Here is a 21,570-nt window from a genome sequence, read left to right as displayed (position 1 = left end):
TGGTTTACAAGGCAGCATCCTAGGCCTTGTTCTAAGATCCTAATTCCACATTTATCGACTGGAGCCATGGATCTGTATGAACAGTTCCAGGTGATTCTGATACGCAGGCCTGGAAACCATGACAGATTCACGTAATTCATGGTAGGGAGTGACAGAAGGAAAAAACTGTATAATGAAAATCCAGTTTCATATTACTGATGAAAACATCTTTGCTTTCCAAGGCACCCAAGAGCAGCAACATAATCATGTCCTGGTAGTACCAACCCATAGGCAGTTCACCTCTCCTGCCTCTCTACCCTCCCATGAACAGGTTCCTGCTCCACTCTTAACCTCTTCTTGTGCTGTCTTCACAGTTCCATTGCCTGGTTCTTCCTGAACTCAACAAGCCACAAAAGAATTACTTAATCTAAAGGTTAGCTTCTCTAGATCACTGAGCTCCTTATGGATAATGACTGACATTTTCACTTTTGTTCATCAGTGTTTACCACAGAGACTGGCACATAACTTATAATCAAGAAATATCAGGATTAATCCTTGAAAATGCTAGACTGTGCTATTTAAACATGATTTTACATATCGAGACAGTTTTCTGCTTTTTCTAATCACCTTGTTTTTACAGACACTTCATTCCCTCACCTGCTATGATGCCCCTAGTCTTCCCTTAGCCTCATTCCTTTCTCCCCATACCCACCTTTAAGACTGTCTTAGCCAGCATCCAGCAGGCCTTCAAGAGTCCCTACCACACCCTTGTGCAGTCTGCTCGCACAATGTTCCAGAGCTGGTCTGTGTATGACCAATAGAATACAGCAGACATGATGGTATATCACTTCCAAGATTAGGCTATCAAAGACTGTGGCTTCTGTTTTGGTTTCTCTTACTGTGTGTTTGTGTCTATGTGTGTGTGATCTCTCATTCTGAAAAAAACAGTTGTGAGTAGCCCTATGGAGAAGGCCTCCCACCACCTGCCAAGAGCCACATGAATGCCCCTGGGAGCTGAACCCCCAGCCCTAGACAAGTCTGCAGAGAATGCAGTAGTCCTGGCTGACAGCTTGACTGGACACTGTAAGACCCTGAGCCAGAACCAGCATTCCTGACCATCAGAGACTGTATGAGAAAATAAATGTGTCTTGTGTTAAGCTACTAAATTTGGGGGTAATGTCATTCAGCAATAGATAACTAATACAAAGATGTATAAGTTAATACTCAAGAATATAAGCTTCTTGAAAATAGTCGCTATGTATTTATCTTTGTATCTCTGACAGCACCATGTCCATGGTAAAGTTACTCAAATGTTTGCTCAACTGAACTGCAGTTGAGTGGTAATTTTTCAAGTCATGGCTTAGACACTCCGTAAGCAAGGGCAAAATAATCTCTGCCTGTTTCCTCACTTTTACAAACTGAATTAATAATGGTGTCTACCTCGTGGGATTATTGTGAGGCTCAAATGAAATAATACATGTAACATTCTTAGAACAATGCCAAGCACATTAAAAGGTGTTAAAGAAATGTTAACTACTAAAAGTAAAATTTCTAAGAAGGAAATACATCACTTTCCTTCCTTAGTACCAAAACCCTGGGTATACGTTTTTTTATATAAGAATCATACAATCCGTCAGGGTAAAGCGTTGGCTAAAAAAAAAAGAAATTGGCTGGGCACAGTGGCTCATGCCTGTAATCCCAGCACTTTGGGAGGCTGAGGCGGGTGGATCACCTGAGGTCAGGAGTTCGAGACCAGCCTGACCAACATGGTGAAACCCCATCTCTACTAAATAAAAAAACTTAGCTGGGCATGGTGGTGGGCACCTGTATAATCCCAGCTACTTGGGGGCGGAAGCAAGAGAATCGCTTGAACTCAGGAGGCACAGGTTGCAGTGAGCCAAGACTGCGCCACAGCACTCCAGCCTGGGTGACAAAGTGAGACTCTGCTTCAAAAAAAAAAAAAAAATTATATAAGCCACGACAGGATTATGAAAAAAATTAGAGGCAGGGCACTGTGGCTCGTGCCTGTAATCCTAGCATTTTGGGAGGCCAAGGTGGGCAGACTGCTTGAGTCCAGGAGTTTGAGACCAGCCTGGGCAACACAGCGAGACCCCGTCTTTATTTATAAAAAGTTAGAAAAATTGATGTACATGTAAGTATATGGGATAACATACCAAATGAAGGGGAGTAATGGAGTATGTTAATAAGCTAATGTTAATTGATCTAGTAACCTACATTCCTCAAAGCTATTTTCATTTTTTTCAAGTCCTACTACAACAAGTAGATATATGCTCTTAGATTATATTCCATGATTATCATAACACAAGCAACTGGACTCCAGTAAGAAATTGTGTTCTTCCTATTTGCATAAAGTTTGGTGAAAAAAATCTTTTTCTTTCAATGCTTAATCTACTTAGCCAAAGTCATGAGATGGAATGTGACAATCTAATGAGGCCTCTTTTTTCTTTTTTTTTTTTTGAGACGGAGTCTCGCTCTGTCGCCCAGGCTGGAGTGCAGTGGCGCCATCTCGGCTCGCTGCAAGCTCCGCCTCCAGGGTTCATGCCATTCTCCTGCCTCAGCCTCCCGAGTAGCTGGGACTATAGGTGCCCGCCACTACGCCTGGCTAACTTTTTGTATTTTTAGTAGAGACGGGGTTTCACCATGTTAGCCAGGATGGTCTCGATCTCCTGACCTCGTGATCCACCCACCTCTGCCTCCCAAAGTGCTGGGATTACAGGCGTGAGCCACCGTGCCTGGCCTGAGGCTTCTTTTAAATGTGTTGGTACTGCCACTGTTTATTCTATGATTATTTTACTGTTCATGTAGTTAGTCATTTAAAATAAAAAATTAACCTATCACACCTGATATCACATATTTTAAATAAATTTATACGCTCACTTTATAGAAAATGAGATGCATGCAAAATGCTTTATATAGGGTCTGATACACAGTGAGGTTTCAATAAATATAGCCATCAGTAGACTTATTCATCTGATACTACAATAAGTTCAACATGCTACACTCTCTGGGCTCTCCTCTTACCTCTGACCACTCTTTTTTTATTATTATTATACTTTAAGTTCTAGGGTACATGTGCACAACGTGCAGGTTTGTTACATATGTATACATATGCCATGTTGGTATGCTGCACCCATTAACTCGTCATTTATGTTAGGTATATCTCCTAATGCTATCCCTCCCCCTTCCCCCCACCCCATGACAGACCCCAGTGTGTGATGTTCTCCACCCTGTGTCCAAGTGTTTTCATTGTTCCAATTCCCACCTATGAGTGAGAGCACGCGATCTTTGGTTTTCTGTCCTTGCGACAGTTTGCTCAGAATGATGGTTTCCAGCTTCATCCATGTCCCTACAAAGGACATGAACTCATCCTTTTTTATGGCTGCATAGTATTCCATGGTGTATATGTGCCACATTTTCTTAATCCAGTCTATCATTGATGGACATGTGGGTTGGTTCCAAGTCTTTGCTATTATGAATAGTGCCACAATAAACATACGTGTGCATGTCTCTTTATAGCAGCATGATTTATAATCCTTTGGATATACACCAGTAATGGGATGGCTGGGTCAAATGGTATTTCTAGTTCTAGATCCCTGAGGAATCGCCACAGTTTTCCACAATGGTTGAACTAGTTTACAGTCCCACCAACAGTGTAAAAGTGTTCCTATTTCTCCACATCCTCTCCAGCACCTGTTGTTTCCTGACTTTTTAATGATCGCCATTCTAACTGGTGTGGGATGGTATCTCATTGTGGTTTTGATTTGCATTTCTCTGATGGCCAGCGATGATGAGCATTTTTTCTTGTGTCTGTTGGCTGCATAAATGTCTTCTTCTGAGAAGTGTCTGTTCATATCCTTTGCCCACTTTTTGATGGGTTTTTTTCTTGTAAATTTGTTTAAGGTCTTTGCAGATTCTAGATATTAGCCCTTTGTCAGATGGGTAGATTGCAAAAATTCTCTCCCATTCTGTAGGTTGCCTGTTCAGTCTGATGGTAGTTTCTTTTGCTGTGCAGAAGCTCTTTAGTTTAATTAGAGATCCCATTTCTCAATTTTGGCTTTTGTTGCCAATTTCCTTCCTTAGTTTCAATTCCTTGTCCCCATCCCTACCTCCTCTCTCTTCTGTTTAGGTTTCTTTTCTACAGAAAACATATCCCTAGAAATTGTGACTCCTCTTCATGAACTATCTTACTTTCTTAGACCTTCCTTTCAAACACTAAACAAAGATAAATACATTTTATTATCATAGTTAATATTAAAGAATCAAAATTATAACTCAAGCAGTCCCAAGACATATCCAGAAAATGGTTCAGATCGAAGAAATGTCATCTGGACCTTGGACTTGGTATTGCTAGAGGATATGAATTTATGATTCAAAAATAATGAGACAGAAATTAAGAAAATAAAAACTTAATGACAAATGGTAAAAACAAAAAAAAATCCCTAATGACAATTTCGGTTTTTAAAAATTATAGCATTTTCATTCTCAATAAGATATACAGGTAAGCCTCCTAAGAAGTTAAATCCTATGAAGGCCATATCATACTGGCACTTATTAATTGACTCTGTACCTATCAAGGGTAAGGACTTTTCACATTTTTTAAAAAAGTAAAATGGAGGTCTGACACAAATACTGAAAAGTAGCATATATCTTTAGGGCACATTTACAAAACATAAATAACTCTAAGTAGACATTTGAAGTAATTTTTTCTACTTAAGCTCACCTCCTATAATACAGCATTTAGGAAGAGGAACTTAACCTAATGGTAAGCTAGAATACAGAGTAACCCCAAGAGAAGCATGCCTTCTTGGGAACGCTATTGAAGGAAGGTGCTGACTATACCAGTATGAATGTGAACAATTCCAAATATATATACTAAATATTCACTTTCTTTTATTTTTTCTTTGACTGACACTAAATATTGAAACAAAAATGGCTTAGCAACTATAATGCCTAAAAGGGAACTATGATGTAGTATGTATATGTGCATGTGTATACATATCCTAAATATACATATATACAATACTCTTCGTTTATCTGCAGTTTCACTTTCTGCAATTACAGTTACCCACTATCGAATATTGTCTGAACATAGATAAGTATAGTACAATACAATATTTTGAGAGCGAGAGACCGCATTCATATAACTTTTACTACAGTATTTGTTGTTGTTAATCTCTGACTGTGCCTAAGTTCTAAGTTAAACTTTATCACAGGTATGCATGTGTAGGAAAAAACATAGTACAGGCATGTGTTGCCTAATGACGGGGATACATTCTGAGAAATGTGTCATTTGGCCATTTCATTATTGTGCAAATATTATACAGTGTACCTACACAAACCTAGATGGTATAAGCTAACATATATTCCATTTAGGCTATATGGTATAGCCTATTGCTCCTAGGCAACAAACCTGTATAGCATGTTACTTTACTCAATACTGCAGGCAATTGTAACACAATGGGAAGTATTTGTGTCTCTAAACATAAAAAAGTTCAGTAAAAATATAGCATAAAAGATTAAAAAATGAATATCTGTATGGGGAAGTTATCATGAATAGAGCTTGCAGGCCTGGAAGTTGCTCCAGGTGAAACTGTGAGTGAATGTGAAGGCCTCAGACATTACTGTACACTGCTGTAGACTTTATAAACACTATACACAGGCTACACTAAATTTATTTTTAAAATATTTTTTGTTCTGCAATAATTAACCTTAGCTTACTGTAACTTTTTTACTTTATAAACTTTTAAGTTTTAACTTTTTAACTATTTTCTAATAACATTTAGCTTAAAACACAAATACATTGTACAGCTGTATGAAAAATACTTTATATTCTTAATTTTATAAACTTTTTCTACTTCTAAAATTAAAAAAAAATTGTTAAAAACTAAGACCCAAACATACATATTAGCCTAGGCCTACACAGGGTCAGGATCATCAATATCACTGTCTTCCACCTCCACACTTTGTCCCATGGAAAGTCTTCAGGGGCAATGACAGGCAGGGAGCTGGCATCTCCTAAGGTAACAACGTCTTCTTCTGGAATGGCTCCTGAAGGATCTGCCTGAGGCTGTTTTACAGCTTGCCTTTTTTTTTTTTTTTTTTTTTTTAAAGACGGAGTCTCGCTCTGTTGCCCAAGCTGGAGTGCACTGGTGCAATCTCGGCTCACTGCAAGCTCTGCCTCCCAGGTTCATGCCATTCTCCTGCCTCAGCCTCCCAAGTAGCTGGGACTATAGGCGCCCGCCACCACGCCCGGCTAATTTTTTGTATTTTTTTTTTAGTAGACACAGGGTTTCACCATGTTAGCCAGGATGGTCTCGATCTCCTGACCTCGTGATCCACCTGCCTCGGCCTCCCAAAGTGCTGGGATTCAGCTTTTTTTTTTAAACAAGTAGGGGTACATTCTAAAATAATGATAAAAAATCTAGTACAGTAAATACATAAGCCAGTAACACAGTTGTTATCAAGTATTATGTACTGTACATAACTATATATGCTCTACTTTTATACAACAGGCAGTACAGTAGGTCTGTTGACACCAGCATCACCATAAACACGTGAGTAACGTGTTGCGCTATGACATTAGGACGGCCATGATCTCAGTAGGTGACAGAATTTTTTTAGCTCCATTATAATCTTATGGGACCATCATCACATGAGGTCCTTCTTTGACTGGAAAGTTACATGGCACATGACTGTATATATGGGGTTCAGAAATATCCATGGTTTCAGGCACCCACTGGGGGTTTTGGAACATATTGCCTTTGAATAAACGGGACTACTACTACTACTACTACTTACTACTAGTACTACACACACACACACACACACACACACACACAGAGAGAGAGAGAGAGAAGCCTTTTAACCTTCATTCCAGGTTGAATTCCCAGCCTCCCAATGCTTATTACCAATAAAAAGAAGGGAACACCTGCCCCTACATTTGCTGCTGACACAGAGAGACCAGCCTGAAGCAGCCCTCATCTTTTTCCCAGGGACCAATTATCCCTTTCCTAACACCAGCCAAGTTTTGCATTTATACTGGGATTTACAGACCCTGCCCTTTTCTAAATAAAAATTCTTCTCTAAACTCTTAGCAACCAAATTTGGGTCAGAACACTAAGATGGAAGCCAAAATAGTTAAAGAAAATAAAAGTAAAGCCAAAAAAAAAACATTTAATTGTAGATTTTTTAAAAGTCAAGTTACCTAAAAAACTGTATATACAATATTGACTCTCATTTTAGATTGGGGTTGGGAATTTAGAATATATTCAAAGAAAGAAAATCTATTTGAAAAAGAAAGGAAGCTATTTATCTCTCTACTTCAGAAGCATATAACTGACACAGTTAAACAATTTAGGAATCCTGTGAAAAACACACTTAAAGAAGTGATATGTACAGAAAGAGAATTTTGGCAATGGTTATTAAGTGACAGATACGGGGTTTCGAGGGATTAGTATGCTCTACATGGAATCCCCATACAAGTGTCTTCCAAGGTAGGGGAAATAAATAGCAGGCTGAACTTGGTAGGAGTTCTAAAACTGGCTAGATAATGAATATGGATCACTAGCTTTTACAAGGGCAATGGCAACTTAAAATGTTAGAAAGCCTAATATATTACATTTTCCAGTATATTTTATTTTCTGGACAAATTAGTTCCATTCATACATCTTCAGGCTCACTGATGCAAACACTTACCAGGGTACTTTTAAGTACAGGTTGAATATCCCTTATCTGAAATGCTTGAGACCAGAAGGATTTCAGACTTCAGATTTTGGAATATTTTCATGCTATTTACTGACTCAGCATCCTTAACCTGAAAATCCGAAATCTGAAATGTTCTAGTATTTCCTTTGAGTGTCATGTTGCTCAAAAAGTTTAGGATTTTGGAGCATTTTGAATTTCAAAATTTCAGATTAGGAATGTTCAACCTGTACCGTAATATTTATTCTCTCTCGACCTGCCTGAGTTAACAAGCTATGTAGGAGAAAAAGGAAAGGCAGAGAACAAAGGTCCAGGAAACTCTGGTTCCAGTCCTGCCTCTGTCATTAAATAACTGATCTCAGCCATGTCACTTCACTGATGGAGTGATATTTCAATATTTCTAAAATTAAGTCGTTCTGGCTGTAAAATGTTAAGATGTTTGTAGTTCTCATTATTACTTTTTAAGAATTTATTTTTATCAAAGTAATATATAAACAAGACTACTTTCTAGAGGTCAGTCTCTAAGATAAAAAGGTCAGTATATTTTCCCACTTCACCTATTGGGATAATACACAAGGTGAAAAATCACATCACATCTCTTTGTACATGGGAAAAAAACACTAGTGACAGCATATTTCCCTTTCATTTGGTATCCAATTAATCAGAATGCCTATTAAGCAAATTTGTGCAAATCCTTCACACAGTTATTTCTTAAATCCAAGTAGTACTGGTTCTAGACTATGCTCCTTTCTATTAGTTTCATTTCCAAGTTTATGATGACGAAAAAATGCCTTCTGAGTTAACATATGTGTTATCATATTATGAAAAAAGATAATGACTTTTTCACTATTAGCTATCAGATCTAAGCAAGTTACTCTTTGCTTCAGTATCTGAATCTGTAAAATAAGAACAATAATCTCTCAGGATTGCCTAAAAGATTAAACAAAATATATGAAAGCATTATACCCAACACAGAAAACTACTCTCAATAAGCATTTGCATGTTTTAAAGGTATGTATAAAAATGATTTATATGAGTTGCTTAAACACTTCATTCTTCCTTAACAGCATATTCACTCCAAGAGATGCAGATGAGAAACAATGCAATATAGAATGTTTAAATCAAGCAACTGTTAAAATTTTAAAAATTCATCTCAATAAACATATATTTATCATTTACTACGTGCCAGGTACTATAATGCTAGGGTATAAGAATTCAAAGGTGAGGCAATGGACTGACCCTCAAAAAGCTCACAGTCTAGAAGAGATAAATACAAATTATAACGTAATTGAAAAACATAATAAAAATATGTACAAAGAGCAGAAGTAGCAAGATGAAGCAAGAAATTAATTTTGCGTGAAGAAAGTAAGGAGGAAGTAGCTGAAGTAGCATGGTAAAGAAGAAAGAGGAGTCTAGAGGCAAAGACTTGGGTCTAAAGCCCAGCTCAGTCATATACTAGCTATAAGATTTGGGACAATTTAATTTACCTCTCTGAGTTTCCTTTCAAATGTACTTTGAAGAGTTATTCTGAAGATTAGAAATAATATATGTAAAGTGCCTAACACACAGCGGCCATTCAACAAATGACAGATGTTTCAGAAGTTGTGTTTACTCGCCTCTTTTGAGCAGACAAAGTTGTAAATGGCACTGTAGGCAGCATCTGTTAACTAATGATTAAGATACACACCAAATCACTAAGGTCACTGGCATGGAGAAGGCCACAATGAATCCCATCAGAATATTATCACTTATAGACTGCCACTGTTGAGAAGAGATGTGGTTCCTAACGTGGTACACTCTACCACTAGTGAAACATATTTCTAATCTGTTTCTTTCTGCATTTTTATCCTGACGCCTAGAATTTCACATATTCAGACAGTAGTTATTTCCTAGTAGAGGTTCCCATGGTCCTCAGTCCCGCCTCAGTCCTAGTTTGGGATGTTCGGCATATCCTTTATGAAATGGCAAGGTCCAATGAGCAACTGGCAAGTATTAAGATCATATTGAAAGACATATTGGAGCTAACCCTGGATGAATAACTACTATTATCAGCTTAATGGTTGACTTGCAGAACTGGAGGCAATTATAATCATTAGAATCTTACTTATTTAAAAATATTGTTGAAGCTGGCCAGGAGTTAAGTTACATTTACATTTACTCTATGGCTCCCAAAGCTAACTTTCTCTAAAAACCCTTTGATGAGCTAATCCAGTGATTAATATCTACAGGCATACCTTGTTTTATTGTACTTCACTTTATTTTGGCTTTTACAAATGGTAAGTTTGAGGCAACTCTGTGTCAAGCAAGTCTATCAGTACCATTTTTCCAACAGCATGGGCTCACTTTGTGTCACATTTTGGTAATTCTAACAATATTTCAAATTTTATTATCTTATTATTATTTTATTATTGTATTTTATTATTATAGTGATCTGTGATAAGTGATCTCTGATGTTACTATTTTACTCGATAATTTACTCGATAAATCTTGTGTGTTCTCACTGCTCCACCAACCAGCCATTCCTCAGTCTCTCTCCCTCTCCTCGGGTTTCCCTATTCCCTGAGATACAACAATATTGAAATCAGGCCAACTAATAATCCTACATTGGCCTCTGAGTGTTCAAGTGAAAAAAAGAGTCAGATATCTCACTTTAAATCAAGTGCTAGAGATGATAAAGCTTAATGAGGAAGGCACGTTCAAAGATGAGTTAGGCTGAAAGCTAGGCCTCTCGTACCAAACAGCCAAGTTGCAAATGCAAAGAAAAATTCTTAAAGGAAATTAAAAGTGTTACACTAGTGAACACACAAATCATAAGAAAGCAAAACAGACTGCTCTCTGATATGAAGAAAGTTTGAGTGGTCTAAATAGAAGATGAAACCAGCTACAACACTCCCCTAAGCCAAAGCCTAACCCAGAGAAAGACCCCAACTCTCTTCAATTCCATGCAGGCTGGGATGTGAGAAAGCTGCAAAAGAAAGTTTGATACTAGCAGATGTCAGTTCTTTAGGTTTAACAAAAGACACCTCTATAACATAAAAGTGCAAGGTGAAGCAGCAAATGCTGATGTAGAAGCACAAATTATCCAGAAGATCTAGCTAACTGATGAAGGTGGCTACCCCAAACAACAGATATTCCATGTAGATTAAACAGCCTTATATCAGAAGAAGATGCCATTTAGGACTTGCACAGCTAGAGAGAAGTCAATCCCTGACTTCCAAGCTTCAAAGGACAGGCTGACTCTTCTTAGGAGCTAATGCAGCTGGTGACTTTATATTAAAGCCAATGCTCATTTACCATTCTGGCGCCCTTGAGAATTATGCTAAATCTACCCTGGCTGTGCTCTATAAATGAAACAAAAAAGCCTGGATGACAGTACATCAGTTTACAGCACGGCCTACTGAATATGTGAAGCCCACTGTTGAGAACTGCTCAGAAAAAAAAAAGATTCCTTTCATTTTAATGAGTATTTTCTTCAATGACAATGTACCTGGTCAACCAAGAGCTGTGATGGAGATGTCCAAGTAGATCAATGTTGTTTTCATGACTGCTAACACAACATCCATTCTGCAGACCATGGATCAAAGAGTAATTTTGACTTTCTAGTCTTATTATTTAAGAAATACACTGTGTAAGAAGGCTAAAACTGCCAGAGATAGTGATTCCTCTGATGGACCTGGGCAAAGGAAATTGAAAACCTTCTGGAAAGGAGTCACCATTCCAGATGCCCTTAAGAACAATCGTGACTCATGAGAAGAGGTCCAAATATCAACTTTCATAGGAGTTGGAAAGCAATTGACTCCATTCCTCATGGATGACTTTGAGGGGATCAACACTTTAGTGGAGGAAGTAACCATAGGTGTGGTCGAAATAGCAAGAGAACTAGAATTAGAAGTGGAGCCTGAAGATGTGACTGAATTGTTGCAATCTCATGATAAAGTTTGAATGGATGAGGAGTTGCTTCTTATGGATGAGCAAAGAAAGTGGTTTCTTGAGATGCAATCTACTCCTGGTGAAGATCATGTGAACACCGTGGAAATGACAACAAAGGATTTAGACTATTAGATAAACTCGGTTGATAAAGCCGCAGCAGGGTTTGAAAGGACTGACTCCAATTTTGAAAGTTCTACTGTGGATAAAATGCTACCCAACAGCATCCCATGCTACAGAGAAATCTTTCATGAAAGGAAGAGTCTATTGCTCTTCCTTAGTGGCAAACTTCATTGCTGTTTTAAGAAAACTGCCATCATCCCAATCTCCAGCAATCATCACCTTGATCAGTCAGCAGTCATCAACACAAAGACAAGACCCTCTACCAGAAAAAAGATAACGTCCTTGCTGAAGGCTCAGATGATCGTTAGCAATTTTTCAGCAATAAAGTATTTTTAAATTAACGTCTGTACTTTTTTTTCAGACATAATGCTATTTCACATTTAAAGACTACAGGTAAAATGTAACTTTTACATGCACTAGGAAAACAAAAAATTCATTTGGCTCACTTTATTGCAATATTTGCTTTATTGTGGTGTTCTGGAACCAAACCTGCAATCTTTCCAAGGTATGCCTGCACAAATATATGTTAAGTCCCTACTTTTCATTTCACTTAAACAAAAACTGGTACAGTTCAAATACCAAACAGTGGATAAATGCAAGCAAAATCATAAGTAAGATAAAGCAGTCTACCTCTAAATTCAACTGAATCATGAGATGGTCTTTATGTCCATTTAGTTTTCCAGAATTATAACAATATATTCCTTACCGGCAATCATCATGTAAAGTCAGTCTGTTTCAAGTTAAATAACCACAGCTTAAAAGTGAGGATAGCATGAAGCAATCCAGAATCTACTTTAACTGTATAGTTTCCATTCGAAGAAACCAGTGTCCTTAAAGTTGTCTTTTGTGGTATATAATTCCATAAAATTTTCTTCTATGAATGTTTGTATTCTATACCATGCCAGACTTTATATATATGTTATATATATGAACCCAGGTTATATTTGTAAAATACTCACAACACTTTAACCAGTTTGACAAAATGCATTTTGAAATACTAATGTTCTACTGAAATTAACTGCCTTACACATTTTCAAGAATTAAATTCTGAGTATTTTTTTAAGATTTTTTTCCTCTGAAAAGCAGGCACTGAGGAGTCACCAAATCGCAACTGAATCTCTTTCTCGTAAATTCTACTTCAGAGAATAATTTTTAAATTCGGAACTCAAAGTATAATGTAAGCATTTCCACATAACAAAACCAGAAGTTTCTTCACAAAGCAAATCTACAGACTGAATAAAAATATTGTGTGTTTTATCACTCACTTTTACAAATAGAAATTGATGTTATAAGGCCAATTACTGACAGCCTTAATAAATGAAGGGAAATACACAAAATTATCAAATGTCTCAGAAGCAGCAGCTGGAGGCCTGAGGGAAAGAGACAGACAGACAAAAGGAAATGGGAGGGGAAGGAGATATATGAAGCTAACACGCTTAGACCGCACTAGACCTTAGCTCAGCCCCTGACCCACTATAATTTACTCAGTTATCTACATCGCCCAAAAAATTAGCGGTTGAAAAAGTAAATCGACCATTGTGGGCAATGATTTTAGGTTCTACATTTGGCTTGAGATTTGCCAGAAAGAAAAAGAACTAAATCAGAAAAAGATGTAAATAGCAAGAAGCGATGTGTGTAGAAGGGGGAGGGGAGGAGGGTAATGGAATAAAAGCGAAATGCGCTCAAGTCTCAGCACTAAAGCTACTCCGCGCGTACTACAGAGGCCGGGCCGCCACCGGGAGCTCTCCCCGTGCGGGGCAGGAGCGGGGGTCGCTGATGCTCCCCTGGCGACTCAGGGAAGGGGGTGGCGGGAGCCGGCGCCCCCGGGACACGCGCAGAGTGGCTCCGATTAACACCTTCCTCGCCGGGACCTGGAGCTCCGAGCGGGGCGCGCACGGGGGTGGGGCGGCGAGGAGCGTGTCCCCTCCCGAGGAAGGAGAAGACAGGAGAGGGGCGGACCGCATCCCCGTCCCCAGCCCAGGCGCGTCAATTACCCGTGAGGTTCCTCAGCACCGTCCCGTGGGCCCAGAGGCTCAGGACCTGCTGCACCGACAGGTTGATCATGGAGTGGTCGCCCCCCTCCGCCTTCATCTTCCCCGAGGGGCGCCCGCCGCCCTCTCCTCGGGTGCCGGGCGGCGGCGGCGGCTGCGAGGCTCGGGGGGCGGCGGCGGGTGCGCGGCTCCTCCAGGCCGCCGCCGCTGGTGGAGGCTGCGGGACGCCGGGCCGGGCGCTGCTGCTGCTGCAGCCGGAGGGCCTCCGTGGGGGGGCCGCTCAGCGTGTCTCCCAGGCAGCCCCCTCCCCGCCGGGGAGACATTGAGGACGGCGGACGGAGGAAGGAGGGGAGGGGGCCGGGCGCCGTCCTCGCGCGGCCCCCGAGCGAGGACTCGGGGCGGAGGAGGCCGCCGCCGCTCCCTCTCAGGGGCAGCGCCGCGCCGCGGGGACTGGACACGCGAGGAGGCCGAGGTCACGCCAGGAGGCCGGTGCTGATGGGCAGCCGGCAGGTGCAGCCCCCGACAGGGCCCAGCTCATCGCCGCCGGAGGACGGAGACGCGGGACCAGCCAGAGGCTGCGGCGGCACCTGCCGCCCGCCTGCCCGCCCTCGGGTCGCCGACACTCGAGGAACCGCCCCCTCCACCCGCAGCCGCCGGCGGGCCACTCGTGCACGCGCACGCGCGCGCCTCTCAGCGCCGGCCCCTCCTCCCCTGCGCTCCCCGGAGCCGCTGCGCATGCTCACTCCCCCGCTCCCCGCGACCCGCCGCCCTCCAACAGCCGGTCGGCCCCAAAGCCCTCCTTCTCGCTCTCCCCTCGCGCTGCAGCGCGCGTGGCTGACGGCGCCGAGCGACGGCCCGCAGTGGGGCGGAGGGAAGCGCGGTCTACGTCACTGGCGCCACCGCCGGGCCTTACTGCTGATTGGGCGCTCCAAGGGAACCGCCTCCACGCCCCCCACCCCCGGACCCCGGGCGCGCGCCCTGAGAGACCGGGAGACCTGGATCCCTCGCCCTGGCCCGGCTGGGTGCGCGCGGTGCGGGCGGCGTGGGCGGTGCGGGCATTTCGGGGGCCCGCGCTGCAGGGGCAGCCCTGACCCAAGGTGGGGCTGCTGAACTCGGTGAGGTGGATACTGTGACAGTTCAGATTTTTGCCTTAAAATGTAATGCTTTTTGATAAAGATGCTTATGTATAACTTTTTTAAAAAGGTGTCACTATCTCAGCATTTAGATATATTAATTTGCGGGGTTTTTTTTCTGAGCCTGAATCGAATGACCTGGATAGGTCACTTACTTGCAGAATGCATGTTAAAACCCCTAAAACACAAACAGACCTGCGTTATCATTCTGCTAATCCCTCTTCCCGCAGCAAGAACTTGGGCCTCCCGGGGTTCCAGGACCTGCCTGACATTACCTGTTTACTCCAGGCTCGGCAGGTGTCCTAATCCTCAAGGCCATCGCCGGCTCTAGCCCCCCTTTTTTTGATGGTAGTATTCTTTTATCTAAGTTGCGTCTGTTATTTTTTTCCCTCGAACTTAAACTAGATCTCTCTCCCCACGCTTTGCTGTCTGTCTTCATGTCCAGCGTTAGCCAGAGGAGCATCTAAAATCCAACTACAAGTTAAACTCCTCGAAATTGGAAACCTTCTAACTTTAAAAAATAAAAATTTAAGTTTTAGCAGTAACATAAATATGCAGTAGCCAGCCCCTCCCCCCACCTTTTTTCAACCCCTCTGCCATCTGGATAAAGAAAAATTTACAAAGAGAAGTGAAGAAATACCTGCTGTAGCTAAATCATGAAGTATATTTGACAAAGCACTGAAGGGTCAAATTACCTGTCAAATGGTGCTCTTGGTGACCACTTTAAAATAATATTTACATACACATTTATTTCTTTGTTTATTTGTATTTTCTTTTTGATGTCACAACATAAGAGAAATTTTTGCACCATTAATAGGAATTGAGCCAAAACTCTTAATGTAGAGTTTATCTTCCTCCTAGAATTTAGACTTAATTAGATCTATTAACAAGATTACAGAATATCAAACCTAAAAGAGCGCTTTAACATTTTTCTAATTTTATTTTACAGATAGGGAAACAGATTCTGTGAATTAAGTGACTTGACAGAGATGACAGCACTTCACAGCTCAGTTTCTGAATTCCTGGTCTATTATTCTTTCTAGCAACCACATTATCTTTCTTAACCCACTGTTAACTCCCTCACTTTAAGATTCTTGATGGGGAAGTGCAGGTTACCTAATGATATTCTTAAGGGACTTGGCATTACATAATTAGTGATGTTAGGGAATGTGACCACATTCAGTGAAGGGTTCACAGCAAACTCCCTGAGCAGGGGCTCATTAAACTCTCATATCAGAAACCTTTAGTTAGTTTACGTTCTTAGGATTGCACACTATTATTTAAAACACAGTAGCACGCAGTGAAAATATTCAGAACCTGGGACAGTGCCTGGCACCTGCACCACAAATATTTGTTGAATGAATCACTGAATGATCTTCATAGAAAAGTCAGCATTGTTCTTGTTCTGAATAAATATTTTTTACAGAATCCAAGTGTTCATGTCAGGAAATGAGAAAGACACAGCAATGAAGTCTCAAGTCAGTAATGTTATTTGCTGCCCAACAACTTCACCCCTGCTGTTCAGTTCAATTTAATTGGCGTCTATATTTATTTGGCATCTACTATCTGTAATGTTCTGTGCAAGGTGTTATCTGTAACATTTGAAGATAAGATCTCTACTCTCTAGGCTACTTAGGTTTTCCTTGATAAAAGTAATGATCTTGACTGTGTTGGAAGCTTATATCCTTAAGAGAATTAGACATTTTCCCAACAGCCAGAGTTATGAAACCCAAAACTGAGTTAATACAAATGAAAGTTTTGGAATTTCTTTCCTACAGATTTTTTATTTTGAATTAATACACCAATTCAGGAAGAGTTTAGTCACGTTCCTGTCAGAAATCAGGGACCACCCCAAGTGAATCCAAAAATTTCCTTTCAACTCTGTGCCCTTCAGCATGAAACAATTCACAAACGTAATTCATAAACCAAAATTCCTGGTTTATTTCTCTCATGTAAGTGAGGGAACACCCATTAGCCTTAGTCATTTTTAAAACTGTCCAGAGACAACCTAGAGGAAAGCTTTTTAAAATCAATTAAAATATAAAATGATATTGATCTTTTGAGAAAAACATTTTCAGGTATCTTTTCAGAAGCACCCCACTCTACTGGTATCAACTTAACGTATTAGTCCATTTTCACGCTGCAGATAAAGACATACCCAAAACTGGGCAATTTATAAAGGAAGAGGTTTAATTGGACTTACAGTTCCATGTGACTGGGGAAGCCTCACAATCATGGTGGAAGGCAAGGAGGAGCAAGTCCCGTCTTACATGGGTGGCAGCAGGCAACGAGAGAATGAGGAAGACGCAAAAGTGGAGACCCTTGATAAAACCATACAGAGCCAAATTATATCATTCCTCCCCTGGTCCCTGCCAACTCTCATGTCCTCACATTTCAAAATCAATCATGCCTTCCCAACAGTTCCCCAAGGTCTTAACTCATTTCAGCATCAACTCAATAGTCCACAGTCCAAAGTCTCATCTGAAACAAGGCTAGTCCCTTCCGCCTATAAGCCTGTAAAATCAAAAGCAAGTTAGTTACTTCCTAGATACAATGGGGGTACACGCATTGGATAAATACAGCCATTCCGAATGGGAGACATTGGCCACAACAAAGGAGCTACAGGCCCCATGCAAGTCCAAAATCTAGACTGATTCAGCTTGATTCAGCTCAGTCCAGCTCCACAGGTCTTCTCATTTCATACCTGAGGCTGAGGAAGATGTCACGCTCTGAGTACATGCCATTCTCATGGTATAGGGCTGGAACCAGGGCTACAATGGGACACTGGCCTTGCCTGCAAAGCCTTGCCTGCAAGTCTTGACAACAGACTCTGAAACACTCTGTTATCAAGATAAATAATATACTAATATAATATTTTTAAAAATAAAAATTCATGCAAAAATCCATGATTAATGAAATACCAAAATTTTAAATAAACACAGAATCTCACCCTGCACTTGCAAGACCTTGTCTCACCCACCTCATCCTTATCCCAGCTCTGGCATGGACAAGAGAGGCAGGGCTAAACTACACAGGTGCATTTAAAGTTCATGCTCAGATATGGGGTCCATGTCACATGCATGTCACATATCCACATTCCCTTGTTTGAAGCAGATTGCATAGTTAAGCCCCTAAGTGAATGGGATAAAAAAGTATATTCTGCCTACAGAGAAGGATGGAAAGAATGAATGGGAGGGGGCAACAAATGGTAATGAACAAATAATGCAGTCTTAACACAGGCTGAGTGAGGTTAAGTCTTCTACAAATAATATATTTCAGCCTATATTTCTGTGTACTTTTTGTAGTTTGCGCTTTACGAATTTTGATTCTATGTGTTTTAGTGAACACATATGTATGTAAGATTTGTGATTTTGCTTTCTTAAATTAAAAATATATTAATTTCCATTATAAAATGCTTTTAAAATTTATGTGAATCTTGTCTGATGTTAAGGTCTTAAGTCCTGCTTTCTGTTTGCATTTGCCTGATATGTATTTTTCCATTCTTTTTCAACTTTGAATAATTTTGTTTTAGGAGTTTGACATCGTATTCCAATATGAAATTTCTAATTTAATAGAAGAACTTCTAGATAATTTCTAGTCGTTGATATAATAAATATGTGGTATTACTTGCATCATAGTTATATTATTATTTCTATTTTTGTTGCTTCTTTTAAAAAAGTATTTCATGGGTATGGTTTGTGTTTCCTTTGCTTTGTTTATGTTCCTTATAATTTGAAAGGATTGGTTTTGTTTTTGTATTTTATAGTAATCTCTGTGACCATAACTGATATACACTTCATCCTCTGTTTAGAATGTATCTAGTGACCATCCACTCTCAGCAATCCTAAAATCATATAACTCCACTTCCTTATAACCTCCTTTTCCTCCCCTTCTCCATCAGATTTAAGAGTATATATTTTTTTCTATTTCTTACTTCTACAGCTAAACTACCTAAGTTTTAATCCTGATTTTATTGCTTTACCAGGAGTGAACATTCAACATTCAGTGAGTTACTTAACCTCTGTAACTTTCAGTTTTCTCCTCTGTAAAATTTGAACTATAATATTCTATTATATGTATAATATATCTGTTATTCATTATAGATAGTATATATTTAATTATAATATTTCCTTGAGATATTCTGAGGATCAAAGTACTTAGTAATTAAGTGCTTAGAGTGGAGTCTGGAGCAGTAAATACTCAATGAATACTAGTTTTTATTACTGTAATATTTAAATATTAATAGATTTTTTAGAACTGTATGGAAATGGCAATCTTCTAAATAATTATTTATTTTAAAGAACAAGCAGAAAGAAATTGTGAAGGATTTTCTTGATGGGCAAGAATCTACCTCTTTCCCACCTTTTTTTTTTTTTAGTGTGATGAATTCATATGACTCAAAACTCTCATGATATGACGTGCAATCAGTGAAAATTCTCCCCCGACCCCTGGCTCCCAGCCACTTAGATCCATGCTGTCTGGGAGTCACCTGCCCTTCCTGGGCCATAACACTGTTTCCTTTAGTAAAAGTGTGGAAAGTGATGTTTGGGCATGAAGAAATAATTTAATGTAGGGTGGAAACTATAGTATTAAGGAAAGGTAAGTGATAAAATTGAGAATACAGGAGAAATGAAAGTTTAGTGACAAATGCCCATTAAAAATAGCCCTATTCTTCTCCCAAACCTAGACCATTTACTAAACATTGGTAAGAAAATGGGTTTCAGGGGCTCCCAACTGTATGCAGCATTTTAGTTAGGGAAAGAGTATTAGTCAGGATTCTCCCAGAGAAACAGAACTAATAGGTTGCCTATGTATAGAAAGACATTTATTATGAGAAGTTGGCTCACACGATTATGGAGGCTGACAAATCCCAGGATCTGCAGGGTGAGTTGGCAAGCTGGCGATCCAGGAGAGCCAATAGTGTAGTTCCAGTCTGAGACTGCATTGCCTGAGAACTAGGAGAGCAATGTTTCCGTTCAGACACTTAGGCAAGAATTCTGCCTGCCTTGGGGGAGCCTTTTTACTCTATTCAAGTCTTCAGCTGATTGGATGAGGCACCCACATGAGGGAGGGCAGTCTGCTTTATTTCATCCACCAATGTAGATGTTACTCTCACCTAAAAACACTCTCACAGAAACACCCCAAATAATGTTTGACCAAATAACTGGATATTCCATGGCCCAGTCATGTTGACACATAAAATTAACCATAATTCTATTTAACACACAAAATTAACCATCTGAGAAATTCAGGAGATTTGAAGACACCTGGGTTATACAGTATGTTCAACAGAAGGCACGACCCTCCTATTATTGAAAGAAGCTTTGAAATGAGAAGTGGAGTTGTCATGAACAGCTTGAAAACTATCATTTATTTAACACTTTCTATCTTTCACATACCAGTCTGTAAACTGTTAACCCTCACAACACCCTTTTAAGGTTGTGCTGTTATTAGCTTCACTTTTCAAATAAGGAAATTGTGGCTCTGGGCAGCCAGTAACCTGCCAAGGTCACCTAGCCCAATACTGTCTGAATCCAAATCCCCAAAATTTAACCATTACTTCCTCAATTTGCCCCTTGTTTTAATAAGACTTCTGAGGCTCAAAACTTACAGGAACTTTAGATCTGCTTGTTGAATGACTTTTGAGGCATAGATACTCACTGTTCACTAAAATCTCTTCTTCCTGGGCATACAACCTGATACATTTCCCAGCCACCCTTGCAGGGAAGTATGGCCTTGGAACGTGCCCAGATGTGATGTGTGCCACTTCCATGCCTGGCATATCAAAACCTCTTTTAACTGTTGCTCCATACTCTTTTTACTTTTCTGATTCATTGGGATGGTGACACTCCAGTATTTTTGAAAGTCACATGTCAAAGATGTCAAAGCCAGTATCAGCCTGGCTTCTTGAAAGAGTGCATAGAACAGGACAGAGAGCCCCCCAGCTGATCTGGAATCCCCTTTGAACTTCCTTGGTATAGAGTTTATAAAAGAAAATAAAATTTTAGGACCCTCTGAATTTATTATGCCAACAGGGAAGGTAAGCCCTGGAGACTGAGTCACGTCATATGTTTGGAATTCTGCTTCTTACATTATAGCTTAACTGTCTTCCTCACTGTTCTTGTTCTGTAAATGAGTAAGACAGATCAGAGCCCAGATCTTTCCTTCCAATCACTGATCTTTGTTATAGATTAGCTGCCTCCTTTGTCCTGTATCTAACTCAGACTAGATGGTGCTCAGGACCCCATAACAGTTACGTCTTCCATGTGGAATGTTAAATGTACCTTTCTCAAGGGAAAAAGACCACCTTAGCTAATCAGATCATTGTAACGAGGCATTAAAGCTTAGATAAGTCCTACACTTTGGAACACTGGCTTCCATTCTTTGGAATCTGTACTTCCTAGGTGGGCCATCCCCCCATTGCACTTGAACACACTCTCCTTAAACTAGATTTTGACCATTTTGATTATTTTAGGTTAGCAACCTGTTGTAATTTGGGACTTTTCCTTCAGTGGTTGAGCTTCCCTAATTAGTATTCCAATACTGCTCTGACAAGAATGCATTCTTTTGTATTCCAGGTTTCCAGTGATTCTATTTTCTAGAAGTCAACTGGTAAATTCAGCTTACTAATCAAAGCTAGATGATCCAAATTTTCTGTAGACACAAACAATTTGAGTATATCTTGTCTACCCACA

The 21,570-nt window shown here is 40.1% G+C and overlaps 1 protein-coding gene across 2 annotated transcripts in view, besides 6 other annotated features; it reads right to left on the bottom strand.

The window, feature by feature from the left end:
• TMEM170B (transmembrane protein 170B) overlaps window positions 1–14,371 on the bottom strand; it is a 45,776-nt gene extending 31,405 nt beyond the window's left edge. For both annotated transcript variants that reach the window (XR_007059185.1, NM_001100829.3), the window contains exon 1: window positions 13,746–14,371. Coding sequence is in view for 1 of the 2 variants with exons in the window: in NM_001100829.3 (NP_001094299.1) it covers window positions 13,746–13,842 (97 nt within the window). In the remaining variant the exon portion in view is untranslated. The remainder of the gene's footprint in view (window positions 1–13,745) is intronic.
• Window positions 13,418–13,697: a silencer, noted in NCBI's record as "silent region_16916". NCBI's record gives its function as "represses an Ori minimal core promoter by ATAC-STARR-seq in GM12878 lymphoblastoid cells {active_cell/tissue: GM12878}" and the evidence as "EXISTENCE:reporter gene assay evidence [ECO:0000049][PMID:35858748]".
• Window positions 13,418–14,078: a biological region, named in NCBI's record as "H3K4me1 hESC enhancer GRCh37_chr6:11538275-11538776".
• Window positions 13,577–14,078: an enhancer, noted in NCBI's record as "H3K4me1 hESC enhancer chr6:11538275-11538776 (GRCh37/hg19 assembly coordinates)". NCBI's record gives its function as "activates a minimal SCP1, AML or CMV promoter by ChIP-STARR-seq in naive H9 embryonic stem cells {active_cell/tissue: H9 hESC(naive)}" and the evidence as "EXISTENCE:reporter gene assay evidence [ECO:0000049][PMID:30033119]".
• Window positions 13,708–13,787: a silencer, noted in NCBI's record as "silent region_16915". NCBI's record gives its function as "represses an Ori minimal core promoter by ATAC-STARR-seq in GM12878 lymphoblastoid cells {active_cell/tissue: GM12878}" and the evidence as "EXISTENCE:reporter gene assay evidence [ECO:0000049][PMID:35858748]".
• Window positions 13,888–14,047: a silencer, noted in NCBI's record as "silent region_16914". NCBI's record gives its function as "represses an Ori minimal core promoter by ATAC-STARR-seq in GM12878 lymphoblastoid cells {active_cell/tissue: GM12878}" and the evidence as "EXISTENCE:reporter gene assay evidence [ECO:0000049][PMID:35858748]".
• Window positions 14,078–14,907: a silencer, noted in NCBI's record as "silent region_16913". NCBI's record gives its function as "represses an Ori minimal core promoter by ATAC-STARR-seq in GM12878 lymphoblastoid cells {active_cell/tissue: GM12878}" and the evidence as "EXISTENCE:reporter gene assay evidence [ECO:0000049][PMID:35858748]".

This window comes from Homo sapiens, chromosome 6 (assembly GCF_000001405.40).
Source record: "Homo sapiens chromosome 6, GRCh38.p14 Primary Assembly".
NCBI lineage: Eukaryota > Metazoa > Chordata > Mammalia > Primates > Hominidae > Homo > Homo sapiens.
This window is presented reverse-complemented; position numbering and strand designations above follow the sequence as displayed.